Source organism: Homo sapiens, chromosome 21 (genome assembly GCF_000001405.40).
Source record: "Homo sapiens chromosome 21, GRCh38.p14 Primary Assembly".
Taxonomy (NCBI): Eukaryota; Metazoa; Chordata; class Mammalia; order Primates; family Hominidae; genus Homo; species Homo sapiens.
Window position 1 is genome coordinate 37,627,104 of NC_000021.9, and position 14,387 is coordinate 37,641,490.

At 39.3% G+C, this 14,387-nt stretch overlaps 1 protein-coding gene and 1 long non-coding RNA gene across 2 annotated transcripts in view; one reads left to right on the top strand and one right to left on the bottom strand.

Moving 5' to 3' along the window:
- KCNJ6-AS1 (KCNJ6 antisense RNA 1) overlaps nucleotides 1-14,387 on the top strand; it is a 222,067-nt gene that overhangs the window by 108,468 nt on the left and 99,212 nt on the right. The gene's annotated exons all lie outside the window — the stretch shown is intronic.
- KCNJ6 (potassium inwardly rectifying channel subfamily J member 6) overlaps nucleotides 1-14,387 on the bottom strand; it is a 309,085-nt gene that overhangs the window by 19,731 nt on the left and 274,967 nt on the right. The gene's annotated exons all lie outside the window — the stretch shown is intronic.

Here is a 14,387-nt window from a genome sequence, read left to right on the forward strand (position 1 = left end):
AGCTACACAACATTCCTGCAGCACTGCATTTGCTCCTTGTGTCTAGAAGAAGAAACTGGGGTGCCAGGGACCTATGTGGTTGACTCAGCTACAGCTGTCAGAGCCTGAGCCAGCACCAGCCCTCACGCCAGCTCTGTGCTCTTCCTCTTAATCTCAAAACCGAAATGTGACCCTTTTTCAATGTTTCCCTGAATGACCCACAGAAGCCCCGCCTTTATGCCTCTAAAACAAACATTGCAGGGCTTTTAGGTATTAGGAAAAAAAAGGTCAACACTGATTTGATTTTACTTCTCAAACAACGTTTCTCTTCTGAATTATTTTCTTTATCTGTGCTTGAGGGTGGGGTGAAGACAGGTGATGGCAGTGATATGTGGGCTCAGAATGAGAAACAAACAGGAAGTCAAGAGGAAAAGGTGATCCAATAACTCTTTTTCCACCAAGGAAGTACATGTTTATGGTAAAGTGGCTAGAAAATAGGGCTGTGATAACAGTTGGGGAAAATAGCAAGCTAATCAAAGAACAAAAAGAAATTCTGGGGAAAGAGGTTCACAGGGAGCTTTGGAAAGCTCTGACATATTCCTGAGAAACTAGAAGACCACATGCATGTGTAAGGCTGTGCACATGCCCAAGAAAAACCAGAGAAGGCCCTGAGCTCTCACTTCTGGTTGACACCGAGTCTCTGTGCAAGTAGGAGGTGAAGGTTAATGCAGTTGTAAAGTGCCTGACTGAATGTTGAAGGCACGTCCCACCATGTGCATAGAGACCCTTGACAAAGACTGGGAGATTTTTGGTTACTGGCTCTTAAGAGAATCTGTCTAATTATTAGCTGATCACTAAATTAACTGAGCAGAGACTTTAGTGGCCATATACACAAAAAGTACAGACCTTACAAAATTAGCTCAGGAAAGTTACTAAAAAACAAATAGCAATGGCAACAAAAAACTCTGAAAAGGAGGGAGAATCTGATTTTCAGGGTTACTACATTATATTACTTAAAATGCCTGTTTTCAACAAAAATTTATGACACATGCAAAGAAATAAGAAAGTATGTCCCATACACAGGAAGGCAAGCAGTCAATAGAAACTGTCCTTGAGGAAGCCTAGGCATTGGATTCACTAGAGAAAGACTTTAAATCAGCTATTTGAAATATGTTCAAAGAACTAAAAGAAGCCATGTCTAAAGAACAAAAGGAAATTAGGGAAACACTGTTTCCCCAAATAAAGAATATCAATAATAAAAATAAGTTACATGTAAAATCCCAACATAAATTCTGAAGTAAAAAGTATAATAAATGAAAGAAAAGAATTACTACAGGAACTTAACAGATTTGAGCTGGCAGAAGAGAATCAGTGAGCCTGAATATAGGTCAGTTGAAATTATTGAGGTATAGAAAGAAAAAAGAATGGAGAAAAATGAACAGTGCCTCAGAGACCTGTGGGACAGAGCAAGCATACCAACGTACGCATAATAGGAGCTCCAGAAGGAGAGTATAAAGAGAAAATAGCAGAAGGATTATGTGAAGACGTAATGACTGGAAAGTCTTTAGTTCAATGAAAACCATTAATCTATACATCTAAAAAACTTAACAAACCACAAGTAAGGTGAACCCAAAGAGATTCACACTGAGACACATCATAATCAAACTGTTGAAACATGACGATGAAGGTAGAATCTTGAAGGCAGCAAAAGATAAACAACTCATTACATGCAAGTGATTTTCAATGATATTAATAGCTTATTCCTCATTAGAAACCATGGAAGCCAGAAGGCCATGAGAAGACATTATTAAAAGCACTGAAAGAAAAAGACTGGCAACCAAGATTCCATATCCAGCAAAATTATCCTTCACAAATGAAGGAGAAATGAAGCCATTCCATGAACAAAAATGGAGAGACTTTGTTGCTAGCAGACTTGTACTCCAAGAAATAATAAACGGAGTCCTTCAGACTAAAATAAAAAGACACTAGATAGTAACTCAGATGAGAACAGGTGTGTTCAGGGTGGTATGGCCATAGACTAGACCGTAACTCAAATCCACATGAAGAAATAAAGAACACTGGAAAAAGTAACTACATAGGTAAATATAAATGTTTTTCTCCAGCATGATTTTAAGGTTATTCCATTTTATGGCAATTATACTATTCCATTATATGAATATATCATGGTTTTATTTAATCAATAAAACAAAGTGATCCAAAATATGTGGTGGGTCTGTTTGTTGGGGGAAATATTAATAATATTGGCTTGGTTTGTGTAGGTTGTCTTAAGTGTACTATTATGGGCTGAATTGTGCACCCCCACCCCCACATTCATATGCTGAAGTCCTAATCTCCGGTATTTCAGAATGTGACATGTTTGAGATGGGATCTTTAAAGAGTTAATCAAATTAAAATAAGGTCATACTGGTGGGCCCTAGTCCAATATAATTGATGTCCTTATAAGAAGAGGAAATTAGGACACAGACACACACAGAGGAAAGATTATGTGAACAGAGGGAGGAGATGGCCATCTACAAGCCAAGGAGAGGGGTCTCAGAAGAACCAGCCCTGTTCACATTTTGTTCTCAGACATCTACCATCCAGCCTTGTGAGAAAATAAATTTCTGATGTTTAAGCCACTCAGTCTGTGGTACTTTGTTATGGCAGCAAACTCAATACACTTACTGACTTCTATAGGGAGAGGAAAATACCTTTCCGTAGTGCCATTTGAAGAGGAGTATTTAATTTATGTAATAAGTAAGATTTAAGTAAATGCTCATGGATGCTTTTCCAATTTTTATTCATTTTTATATCAGAACTCATTTAAAAAAGGATAAAAAAGAATATTAATGTTTGCCTATCAGTAAAATATTAAAAAGTATTTCTGGGGTAAATTGATAATTTTCTTCAGAAAAATTCCTGTCTTACGTATTGACTTAGGTCCCAGTCCAGTCTTTAAAACTGTGATGTTTTACTGAATTTGGAAAAGTAGCAAAATAAAACCAACTGAGTTAGCCTCATAAGCAAGGCAGAACTGCCAAGATGACATCTCTGTGTGTGTGTGTGTGTGTGTGTGGTGTTTATGTTCCATATCAGGGACATCATCATAAAGGCTCCCAGAACTAGGTTATTTTGTGAGTAAAGTACTTTCTGGAAAAAGAGATGCTTCATTTGGTGAAGAGCAAAACGTGGAAAACCTGATCTTGATCTCCTTTGAGCATGCAGTCATAGGTGTCTGTTTTTCTTATTGTATTGTGAATGCCTTGAGGATCTATTTGTCTTGTTTATTTCCATATTCCTTAGCATTTGCACAGTGCTTCAATATTGGAGGTTCCCAATAAGTACTTGCTAAGTGAAAAGAGTGGACTTGGGGAACTATACAGAAACAGCTTAATATTGTTCGTTGGCCATGTCTGAATTTATTATTAAATAAAAAGATGGCTTGTGAGTCATTAGAAAAGAAAGTGGGAGATTTCTGCTTCCATCATCATGTCAGTCTGCATATGAAGGACCCTTAGCTAAGATATAACACAATGCTGGAAAATTACAAAATGTCTTACCTTTCGTTTTATGTATTTGACAAGTAAAAATTATACATATTGATGGTGTACATGATATTTTGATATACGTGTATGTTGTGAAAAGGCTAAGTCTAGCTAATTAACATAGCCATTACCTCACACACTTATTTTTTTGTTGTGAGAACATTTAAAATCTACTCTTAGCAATTTTTGGGTATATAATGCATTGTTGTTAATGGTAGTTGCCATTTGCATTTCTATTTTTGTGACAGTGCTTGTCCTCTCCTTTATCTTGAATGCCCTTCCCATAGTAAAATGCTGCTCATCTTTCAAGAGCTAACTAATGTGTGGTCTCCTTTCCAAAGCACATTGTGACCAACCAGTCTCTTGCTGGAACTATCGAGTTCCAGGCCACCATAACACTTCAGTGACCTATCACAGCACTTATCAGAGTGTTTTACAGCAGTTATATGTGTCTGTTTTCCTTGCTGAATTGTGAATGCCCTGAGGATCTATTGGTCTTATTTCCATATTCCTTAGCATTTAGCACAGTGCTTCAACATTGGAGGTTCCCAGCAAGTACTTATGGTTAAGTGAAAAGAGTAGACTTAGAGAACCATACAGAAACAGCTTAATATCGTTCATTGGCCATGTCTGAAATGTATTATTAATGTTAAATAAAAAGATTGCTTGTGAGTCATTAGAAAAGAAAGTGGGAGATTACTGCTTCCAGCGTCATGTCTGTCTGCAGATGAAGGACCCTCAGCTAAAATATAATACAATGCTGGAAAAGTACAAAATTCATAATTTGAATTAAACCTGAGTTCAATAAAAGCAAGAGATGAGCCTTCTGGGGCTGGTGAAGAGGGAATAACACGCCTATTCCTTCCCACCAAGTATAGTTGAGGCCTCTGGACAATGTACAAAATGAAACCACCTGAAGACTCTAGAAAGTTCACAATAGCAGGACGATTGGAGAAGGGAGTCAAAACTTGAGGAATGAATCGTCTGAGGATAAATTTTTCTGCCTTCCTCTTTTATTTTCTGGCTTTAACCTGAGAGTGGCCCCAGTGTAGAACTGGGGCCCCAATGCAGAACAAGTGCTGGCAAGAAAATCTCAGAGAGAAACCCTGCCTTTCTAACCGGAGGACCAGGAAAAGGTGCTGCTGTGAGTCAGAGACGGGAGTGGGAATCCCCGTTAATTGAGTGTGAGGACTTCCCCACCAGCCCTGAGTGCAGCCTTTGTCCTCAGCTGCTCTGCAGTGCAGCGGTGACACAGGTGCCAAAAACTGAGAGAGAGCCTGTCTTTTTGGACCGAGTATTGGGAAAGGGGAATTCCAGGGACCAGAGTTTGTGGCTGCATTTTCCTCTTTCCTCTGACTGCTTTACCCTAAGAGTGGCCCCGATTGTGTAAAACAATGCAGCAGCCCAGGTGGCTCAAATGCTGAGCAAGTCTTGGCTTTAGAGAAAGAAGTATCAGAAAAGGAGGCCCGGGAGCTGAAAGTGGGGGCCGACCGGGGGGAGGGGTGGATCTCACAGAGGAGAGAACTGGAGAAGAGGATTTCCAGATTCTGTGTATGAATTGATATAATCGTGAGCTTTGCATGCACAGGACGGAAAACAATAAGAAAAGATGAACTTAAAAATTACCTCGTTTTGGAATATATGACCACACTTCTAAATGTCAAAGAAGAAACCATAATGGAAATTTGATAGTACTTAGGACTGAGTGATATTGAAATTCTAAATATAAAAATTAAAGGGCATATAGAAAGTAAGAAAAATTTATATGCCTAAATGCATATATTAGAAAACAAGAAAGTCTGAACATTAATGTTTAGAATATTCAACTGAAGACATTAGGAAATGAACAACAGAATTAATTCACGGGAAATAGGCAACAAAGATCATTGTATAAATTAATAAAATATAAAACAAGTCAACCACAGTGAGAATCAATAAAGGCAAAAGTTGTTTTTTGAAAAGTCTAGTAAAATAGACAAATCTCTGATCAGACTGGCCAAGTAAAAGGTGTAGAAGGCAAAAATAAATGGCATTGGGAACTCAAAGGTATACATAACTTTAGAAACAGCAGAGACTGAAAACACAAAAGGAGATTATAATAACTTAAAAATATAGACGAAATGGACAATTTTCTAAATCATATAAATTACCAATACTTATTTAAGTAAAAATAAAAAGCAGAGATACCTTATAACCAATTATGAAATTGAGCCAGTGATTAAAAACTTGCCATAAAGAAATTACAAAGCCCAGACAATCTTAAAGATGAGTTCAATGAAATATTCTAGGAAGAAATCATGATAATTTTACATAAACTCTCCTAGGAAATAGAAGAATCATTTCCTAACTCATTCTATAAGGCAAATAATCTTGATAATAAAGTCATAAATATAGTACAAGAAAGAGAGAAAAAAAGGGAGAACACAAGCCCATATTATTCACTTGTGTAGCTACAAGAATCCTAGAAGAAATATTAGCAAACCAAATCTAACAGTTTAGAAAAAAAGACACCATGATCAAGTTGGGTTTATTCCAAGGAATGCAAGGGTGGTTTAACCTTAGAATACTGATCATATAATTTATCATGTTAAAAGATTGAAAGATCATTTAAATATGTGCATAGAATTCATTTGATAAAATTCAAAAACCACTTATGATGAAACTTCTTAATAAACTTTGAATATGAGACCAACTGTATCTACCAAAAATCTAAACAATCATTATTTTTGATGATGATGATGATCAAAAGTTAGGATTGTTTAAAGTCAGGACCAGTGATTTTAAATACAGATGCAGTAAATGCTTGCTATCACCTTTTCTATTCAGTATTTTACCAAAGGCCTTTGCCAGTAAAAATAAGATAAATACAATAATTTGATTCAAAAATAAATGAAACTTTCATTATTTGCAGATAATATAACTGTGTACATAGAAAATCCACAAGAGTAGTACAACTATTAGGATTACTAAGAATGTTTAGCAAGGTGGCTAGAATTTAAAAATCTATGCAGAAAACTTATGTATCTTTTTATATACCAGCAACAAATAAAAGACATAACAGCAACCCTTCACCATTTCCTCTAGCAACAAAAAAAACCCTAGAAATCAATCTAATAATAGAAATATAAAACCTTTATGACAATTTACAAATTATACAATTTGGGAGACAGTAAGGAAGATTTAAATAAATGGAGAGATATATCATGTTCATGGATAGGATGATTAAACATCCTAAAGATGTCAGTTTTTCCCAAGTTACTTTATAGATTCAATACAATCCCAACAAAACATTCTTAAAGTCAAAAAAAAAATGGATTTGACAAATCCTTTCTTACACCATGAGGAAGTACAAAGACTCAAAAGTCAAAACACTCCTGGAGAAGAACAAACTGTAGGGACTCACTCTATTAGATCACAGGACATATTTAGTAAGTATGGACATGTGCAACAGGAAACACGTATGATTATGTTCATAGCAGTTGTTATACTTTGGATATTTGTCCTCTCCAAATCCCAGGTTGAAATTGGATCCCCAGTGTTGAGGGTGGGGCCTGATGGAAGGTGTTTGGGTCATGGGGTGCTTGGTGCCACGCCCAAGGTAATGAGTAAGTTCTCGTTCTATCAGTTCTCATGAGAACTGACTGTTTAAAAAGAGCCTGGCACCTCCATCCCCTCTCTCTCTTCCTTTCTCTCTTGCCATGTGAGCGTCATGCACCTGCTCCCTTTTCCCCTTCTGCAATGAGTGGAAGCTTCCTGAAGCCCTCACCAGAGGCCGGGGCCATGCTTCCTGTACAGCCTGCAGAATCAAGAACCAAATGAACCTCTTTTCTTCATAAATTACCCAGCCTCAGGTATTCCTTTATAGTAACACAATGAACTAGGACAGCAGTATCATTTTTAACAAATTGGAAACAACCCAACTGTCCATTGACAGACAATGGCATATATTCACCTAGTGGAATTTTAAGAAGTACTAATAAGTAAATTACACATGCAGGGTCTAATATAGATGAATCTTAGAAACATAATATTCCACAAAAAAGCAAGTTTTATAAAATTTAAAAATATACCACTTTTATGAAGTTAAAATAAGCATAAGTGAATAATATAGTATTTAGGAATACATACAAATCATTTTTTTTTTTTTTTCAGACAGAGTCTCACTCTGTCACCCAGGCTGGAGTGCAGTGGCATGATCTTGGCTCATTGCAGTTTCTCCCTCCTGGGTTCAAGTGATTCTTGTGTCTCAGCCTCCTGAGGAGCTGGGATTACAGGCTTGCACCACCACGGCTGCTAATTTTTGTATTTTTTGTAGAGATGGGTTTCGCCATGTTGGCCAGGCTGGTCTCGAACTCCTGGCCTCAAGTGATCTGCCCACCTTGGCCTCCCAAAGTGTGGGATTACAGGCATGAGCCACCATGCACAGCCAAATCACTTTGTGGTTTTTTTTAAAGAAAGCAAGGGAATGTTAAAAACAAGTAGTTATATTGGGGTGAGAAAGGAATATAGAAGTAGATATAATGGTTAGCAGTGTTCTAGCTCTTAAATTGAGTGGCCAAGTTACAAGTATTTTATATAATATTACTTTATTTTATTTATTTATTATTTTGAGATGGAGTCTTACTCTGTTGCCCAGGCTGGAGTGCAGTGGTGTGATCTGGGCTTACTGCAACCTCCGCCTCCCAGGTTCAAGAGATCCTTCCCCCAAGCCTCCCAAGTAGCTTGGAGTATAGGCGCTTGCCAGCACGCCCGGCTAATTTTTGTATTTTTAGTAGAGATGGGGTTTTGCCATGTTGGACAGGCTGGTCTCGAATTCCTGACCTCAGGTGATCTGCCTGCCTCAGCCTCCCAAAGTGCTGGGATTACAGGTGTGAGCCACCGCACCTGGCCTATTATTTTGTTTTTTTGAGACAGGGTCTCTCTCTGTTGCCCAGGCTGTAATGCAGTGGCAAGATCTTGGCTCACTGCAGCCTCAACCTCCCCAGGCTTAGGTGATCCTCCCACTTCAGCCTCCTGAGTAGCTGGGATTACAGGCATGTGCCACCACACCTGACTATTTTTGTATTTTTTGTAGAGATGGGTTTTTGCCATGTTGCCCAGGCTGGTCACGAGTTTCCAAGCTCAATTGATCTGTCTGCCTTAGCCTCCCAAAGTGTTGGGATTACAGGCATGCGCCACCACACCCAGCTAAATTACAAGTGTTTTATTATCACATTTTATAACAATATGTGAGGTACATTATTTTGTACTTATCAAGTACTATATTAAAAAATCACCTAATTCCATTTTTGTTGGAAATTTTTTGTATTACACTGCTTGTAATTATTCATGCAAAGGTCCTTCTTGTTCAGTGTTTTCAGAACCATTAACTATTCACGTATTTGGTGGTGGGTAGGGGAGAGCTACTGGTCTAAGTCCTGGGCTCTGAAGGTCTGAGAACGTGGAGTACTGATGTCTGAGGGAGAGGATGGACACCCATCTCTAGAAGAGAGAGCTGATTTCCCTTTTCCCTGCCTTTTCCCTGTTCTATCTGGGTCCTCAATGGATTGGATGGTGCCCACCCACACAGGTGAGGGCAGATCTTCTTTACTCACTTCAGATTCAAATGCCAGTCTCTTCTGGAAACACCCTCACAGACACACCCATAAATAATGTCTTATTAGCTACCTGGGTATCCCCAGCGCAGTCAAACTGACACGCAAACTCACCCAGGACAGGAAGGCTGCTTGATTTCCACAGTGTTGTCTGAACTAAGTTATTTCTCCAAAGGGTGTGTAGGAGTGTGCGTGTGTGCGTAGCTTTTAACAATTATTTCATTCCGCAGTTTCTCCACTGAGAGCTTCTCTGTCTGGATGCCTAGTTATTCTTCCAAGAGTTAAGCTTGCAGGGACATGCATGCAAACAACCTGTCTTTGGGTGGCCGTTTCATTCCCAATAAGACCATGTGAGAAGGAGAGCTTGGAGGGGAAGGGAGTGCGTGTTACGGGTGGTGATTGCAAAGCTCACTCTGCCTAGGATCCAGGAAAACAGACTGAAACATAGCTAAGGAATGTGCCATAGGCACTGAGCAAACACAGGGGCAGGCCCTGCAAGATGGAGATTTAACAGGCAAAGCCCTATTTTTAGATCCTGTGACAAATTATGGTGGGAGAAGTTTGTGTGCAGAATACCAATATGATGAAAGTCATCCTCATGAGAGAACCCCCTGGACAAAGCCAGAGGTATAGTCAATACATAGACAATACATGAAAACAGCCTGGAGGATATGATTCCAATAAAATTAGATGGATACAAACCACTCTCACCACTTCTGAATACTGTAAAATGAATCTGTATTGCCAATATTCAAAAACAGAACTGATTGTAGACACTTAACCATTTTATTTCAAACACCAGGCTACATAGATGATGTTTTCCTTTTCCTTTACTCCTGTGCCCATTCTCAATAAGAACTGTGCTGAATCAGTGCAGTAATAAAGTGTTGTGCACTTAGAAGTCAGTGCTGGGTCGCTTTTCATGTGGGAGAATGATGTTGGTGATTAACCAAGCCCAGTGTCAAAAAGAAGCAGGATAGTGTGATTTCTGGCATAATCATGGTTTTAGTTCATTAGGTTTTGCCAACTGCCGAACATTTAAATAACGATGAGCCCTGCCCTAGGCTCAGGTTAAAAATCCCTTCAATGAACAGTTGTGTTTCTTCTATTACCCAAATATTAGAGGGCCAGTGAGGGTCACCTCCAGTTATGCAAAAACAAATGGAAGTGTGGATTTTTAAAAATGTCTAAAAAAGATCCTACATGTGTACTCCTAATTCTATTCTCACCAAGGTCATTGATAAGTGTATAAATTAAGTATTGAATTAAGTAAGAAATGTTATTTATTGAGTGTTTACTGTGTGCTGGGCTCAGTGTGTGCTCGGTGTGAGCCAACCATCTGGTCCCTGAAACAGTCTTCTCAGACAGATGCTATGATCTTATGTGTGAGCAAACTAAGGCAAAGACAGATTAAGTAACTTCTCTGGGTCACATAGTGCTGTGGATTGAATATCATGCCCCAAAATTCATATTCAAAGCCCTGACCTCCAATATGACTGTATCTGGAGAACTGGCCTTAGGGAGATAAGTTAAGTCAAATGAGATCATAAGAATGGGTATCCTTAAGAGGAAGAGACAACAGAGCATGTGTACGCTCTTTCTACATGCACACAGAAGAGGCCGTGTGAGGACACAGCAAGAAGGTGGTTGTCCTACAAGCTAGGCAGAGAGCCCTAAGCAGAAGCCAACCCTGCTGACACCTTGATCTTGGACTTTCAGCCTCTAGAACTGTAAGGAAATACATTTCTCCTGTTAAAGCCACTGAGTCTGGTATGTTGCTGTGGCAGCCTAAGCAGACAAGTAGGTACAATAGGTAGTGGGGTGAGGGTTCTCATTTAGGAGGCCAAGCTCCAGAGTCTACGCTGTCAACCACAACACTATTATTTCTACATTTGAGGACAGAGACCACATGTTAATTTTGATCTTGATTTATTTTTATTTTTAAGATGGAGTCTCGCTCTGTTGCCCAGGCTGAAGTGCAGTGACGTGATCTCAGCTCACTGTAGCCTCTGCCTCCTGGGTTCAAGTGATTCTCCTGCCTCAGCCTCCCAAGTAGCTGGGATTAGAGGCGTGTACCACCATGCCCTGCTAATTTTTGTATTTTTGGTAGAGATGGGGTTTCACCATGTTGGCCAGGCTGGTCTTGAACTTCCGACCTCAGGTGAGCCACCCTTCTTAGCCTCCCAAAGTGCTAGGATTACAGGTGTGAGCCACCGCTCCCAGCCATAAATTTTGATCTTTATAACTGCTATAGTGTCTTACACCTAAAGATTGATAACATATTTTACAAAATAAAATGGAGTGCAAATGAATGATCATAGCCAAAGGCATTCTGCACACCAGCACCTGGCCACCATTTGTCCCAAATTGCCACTCCCTTCTGCCTACCATTTCCACCCTCCGCTAGCTTTCCTTTTAAGCCTGTCCATTCTTACCTCATCTTCCACACAAATGGTGTTTATTCTCTGCCCAAATCTGGGGTCCTGGCTACCATCTTCAGAAAATTGCTTGCAGACACCAGGCAACCTTCATTTACTTTTAAGAAATCACGAGATAGCCCCAAATCAAATCTCAAACTGCAGGAAACTTCTTCAAATTCTCCCATTCTATATTTGTATCTTCCTCCTCCAACAGTAAGAATCTGAATTCTCAACAACCTGTATATGTAGGCTCTCTCCTACAAAACATACAAAACACTTTCGGAACGGTCACATCCTTAACTCTACTGAGGAATTGCTTATGCAAGACTCAGACCTCACAGCTAAGGACCAGCAATTCCTCCAGTTGAAAAAGAAAATCCCATGTCACCTTATTTAGCCTGAGGGCTCCCAATAATGTACCAGTAGGTGATGGACCAATCACAAACTGCCCAATGCACTTGAAAGCCAATCAGAAAGCTTCCCTACTTCCAAAAATTCTACCTAATAGAACACTCACCAAGCAAAGATTATTTGTCTTAAGACTTCCTTCTTTTACTCTATAAAACCCACCCTCCTTTGATTTTTCACTAGGAGGAAAGTGATGGTAGCAGTCTTCCTTGTATGATCTCAATAAATAGCCTTTTGTTAATTCTACAGATGCACTTTGCCCTTTTGATACCAACAACTACAAACCTCTGAGGTAAAACTAAAAATTGCTTGCAATTCTTTTAAATCCTAGAATATTCCCACGAGGTTGTACAATCAAAACACTGTGTTCAAAAGTTACCTGAACTATTTTTTTTTCTATGTGGTTATGTTATCCATTGCATAAACAGTTAGGTTCCTTTGTTTCTATTTGTGTTTCCCTTTAGGGTTTGCTTTTGTCATTCTTTTTCTATTTTGTTTTTAAACTTGTAAGCCATTTAAATGGTTCAAAAATTTAGTCAGCACAAAAAGACATATTCAGAAAAGTCTCATTCCCATCCTAAACTCCTTCTGCCCACCTCCAATGTGAGGTCATTTTTATTCATTTCTGCTAGATCCTTGATATGGTTTGGATTTGTGTCCCTGCCCAAATCTCATGTTGAACTGTAATCCTCAATGTTGGAGGTGGCCTGGTGGAAGACGACTGGATCATGGAGGCAGATTTTCCTCTTTGGTGCTGTTCTCATGAGATTTTGTTTAAAAGTGTGTGGCATTTCCCTGACTCTCTCTCTCTTCCTCCTGCTCCAGCCATGTAAGACATACCTGCTTCCCCTTCCCCTTCTGCCATGATTGTAAGTTTCCTGGGGCTTCCCCAGAATCTGATGCTATCATGCTTCCTGTACAGCCTGCAGATCTGTGAGCCAATTAAACCTCTTTTCTTTATAGATTACCCAGTCTATAGCAGTGAAAGAATGAACCAATACAATCCTTCCTGTGTCTCCTTCTGTAAAAATAAGCAAAGCAAACATATATGCATACACGTTCTTGTTTCCCAGTCTTTTCCCATGGAAACAATGTTTCAGAACAAGAAACTGAATAATAGGTTCCTTCTGCTAAAGTAATTTGAAATCACTTAATGCATTCATTTCATTTTACAGAGCACAGTCTCCTCAATGAAGCCTAGGGGCCACACTACAGGAGTGGGAGGCACACAGGCCTGGGTTTGAATCTTGGCTGCTTGGAATGGCTGTGGGACCTAGGACAGGCTACTTCACCTCTCTCACTTCCTCATCAGTCACATGGGGAAAACAATGACCAGATTATAGGTGCTATCACATCAATGTGAAGCATCACATGTGAAAGTACTCAACACATGGCTCTGCCTGAGGACACCACTAGGGATGCTCTTAATTCCCTTCCTTTCCTTGGTCAAGTGTAAAAGCAACAGCTGACCTTTCTTGTAGAATTAGCCTCATTGATCAATAGCGTTTGTCCCTTACATCATATGTTTTGTTGTTTGTTGATTCTTTCAAGTGGAATAAAAACCTCCACAGGGAAAGATCTGGTGATGCCATGTCTTGGCTTCCTATTGATGTCAGGGTTTACTTTACATATACTTGTTCTTTGGACATTTCAAAATACTCTTTGATGCGTGGTATTTAAAGAGTCGCCCTTCATTTCATTGTCCCTCATTATTCTGCATTTTTCAGGCACTGGTTCTTAACTTTTTGAGGCAAGGACCCTTTTGGGAATCTGATGAAACTCATAGATCCTCTTCTCTTAAAATATACATGCATTCCAAAGTTTCCCAATGATCAGGTGCTCATGAACTCACTAAAGCCCATAGGATCCCAGGTTCAAATAAAACAAAGGAAAGCAGAAGTAGAAGAATAAAACAACTCTTCCAGGGTTAAGTGCGTGCATGCATGTAATGGGGAGGAGGTTTAAGAAAAAGTAGGGAATAGGAAGAGGGAATTTACTTAAGCTGCAACTGGGTTATAGGAACCTCACACACTTTCACAGTATCCAGTGCTCACCCCATCAGAATCTTTTTCACCAAATTGTAACTGTCAATACTTGTCTGTATCTCTCTCAAGTCTGGGGATGGGGGTTTCTGTGGGCAGGAGCTCTGTCTTGGCCACAATTTTATCTCCATTCCATAGTATAGTATTTGGCTATATGTCTAATAAATAATGGCTAAATGAGTAAAAAGACCCAGCTGGTAATAATTTCATTTATTTGTTCATCATGTATTTATTGAGAATCTATTATGTGTCAGGCACTTTGATGGGTTCTGAGAACAGAATGATGACTTGGCCCTCGGATTCATTGGATGTATAGTCTACTGAGAATCCGAATAAATATAAAGTTACTCCTGTGATAAATGCAATGAAGTAAAGGTGGATTATCCTATGAGACTGTAA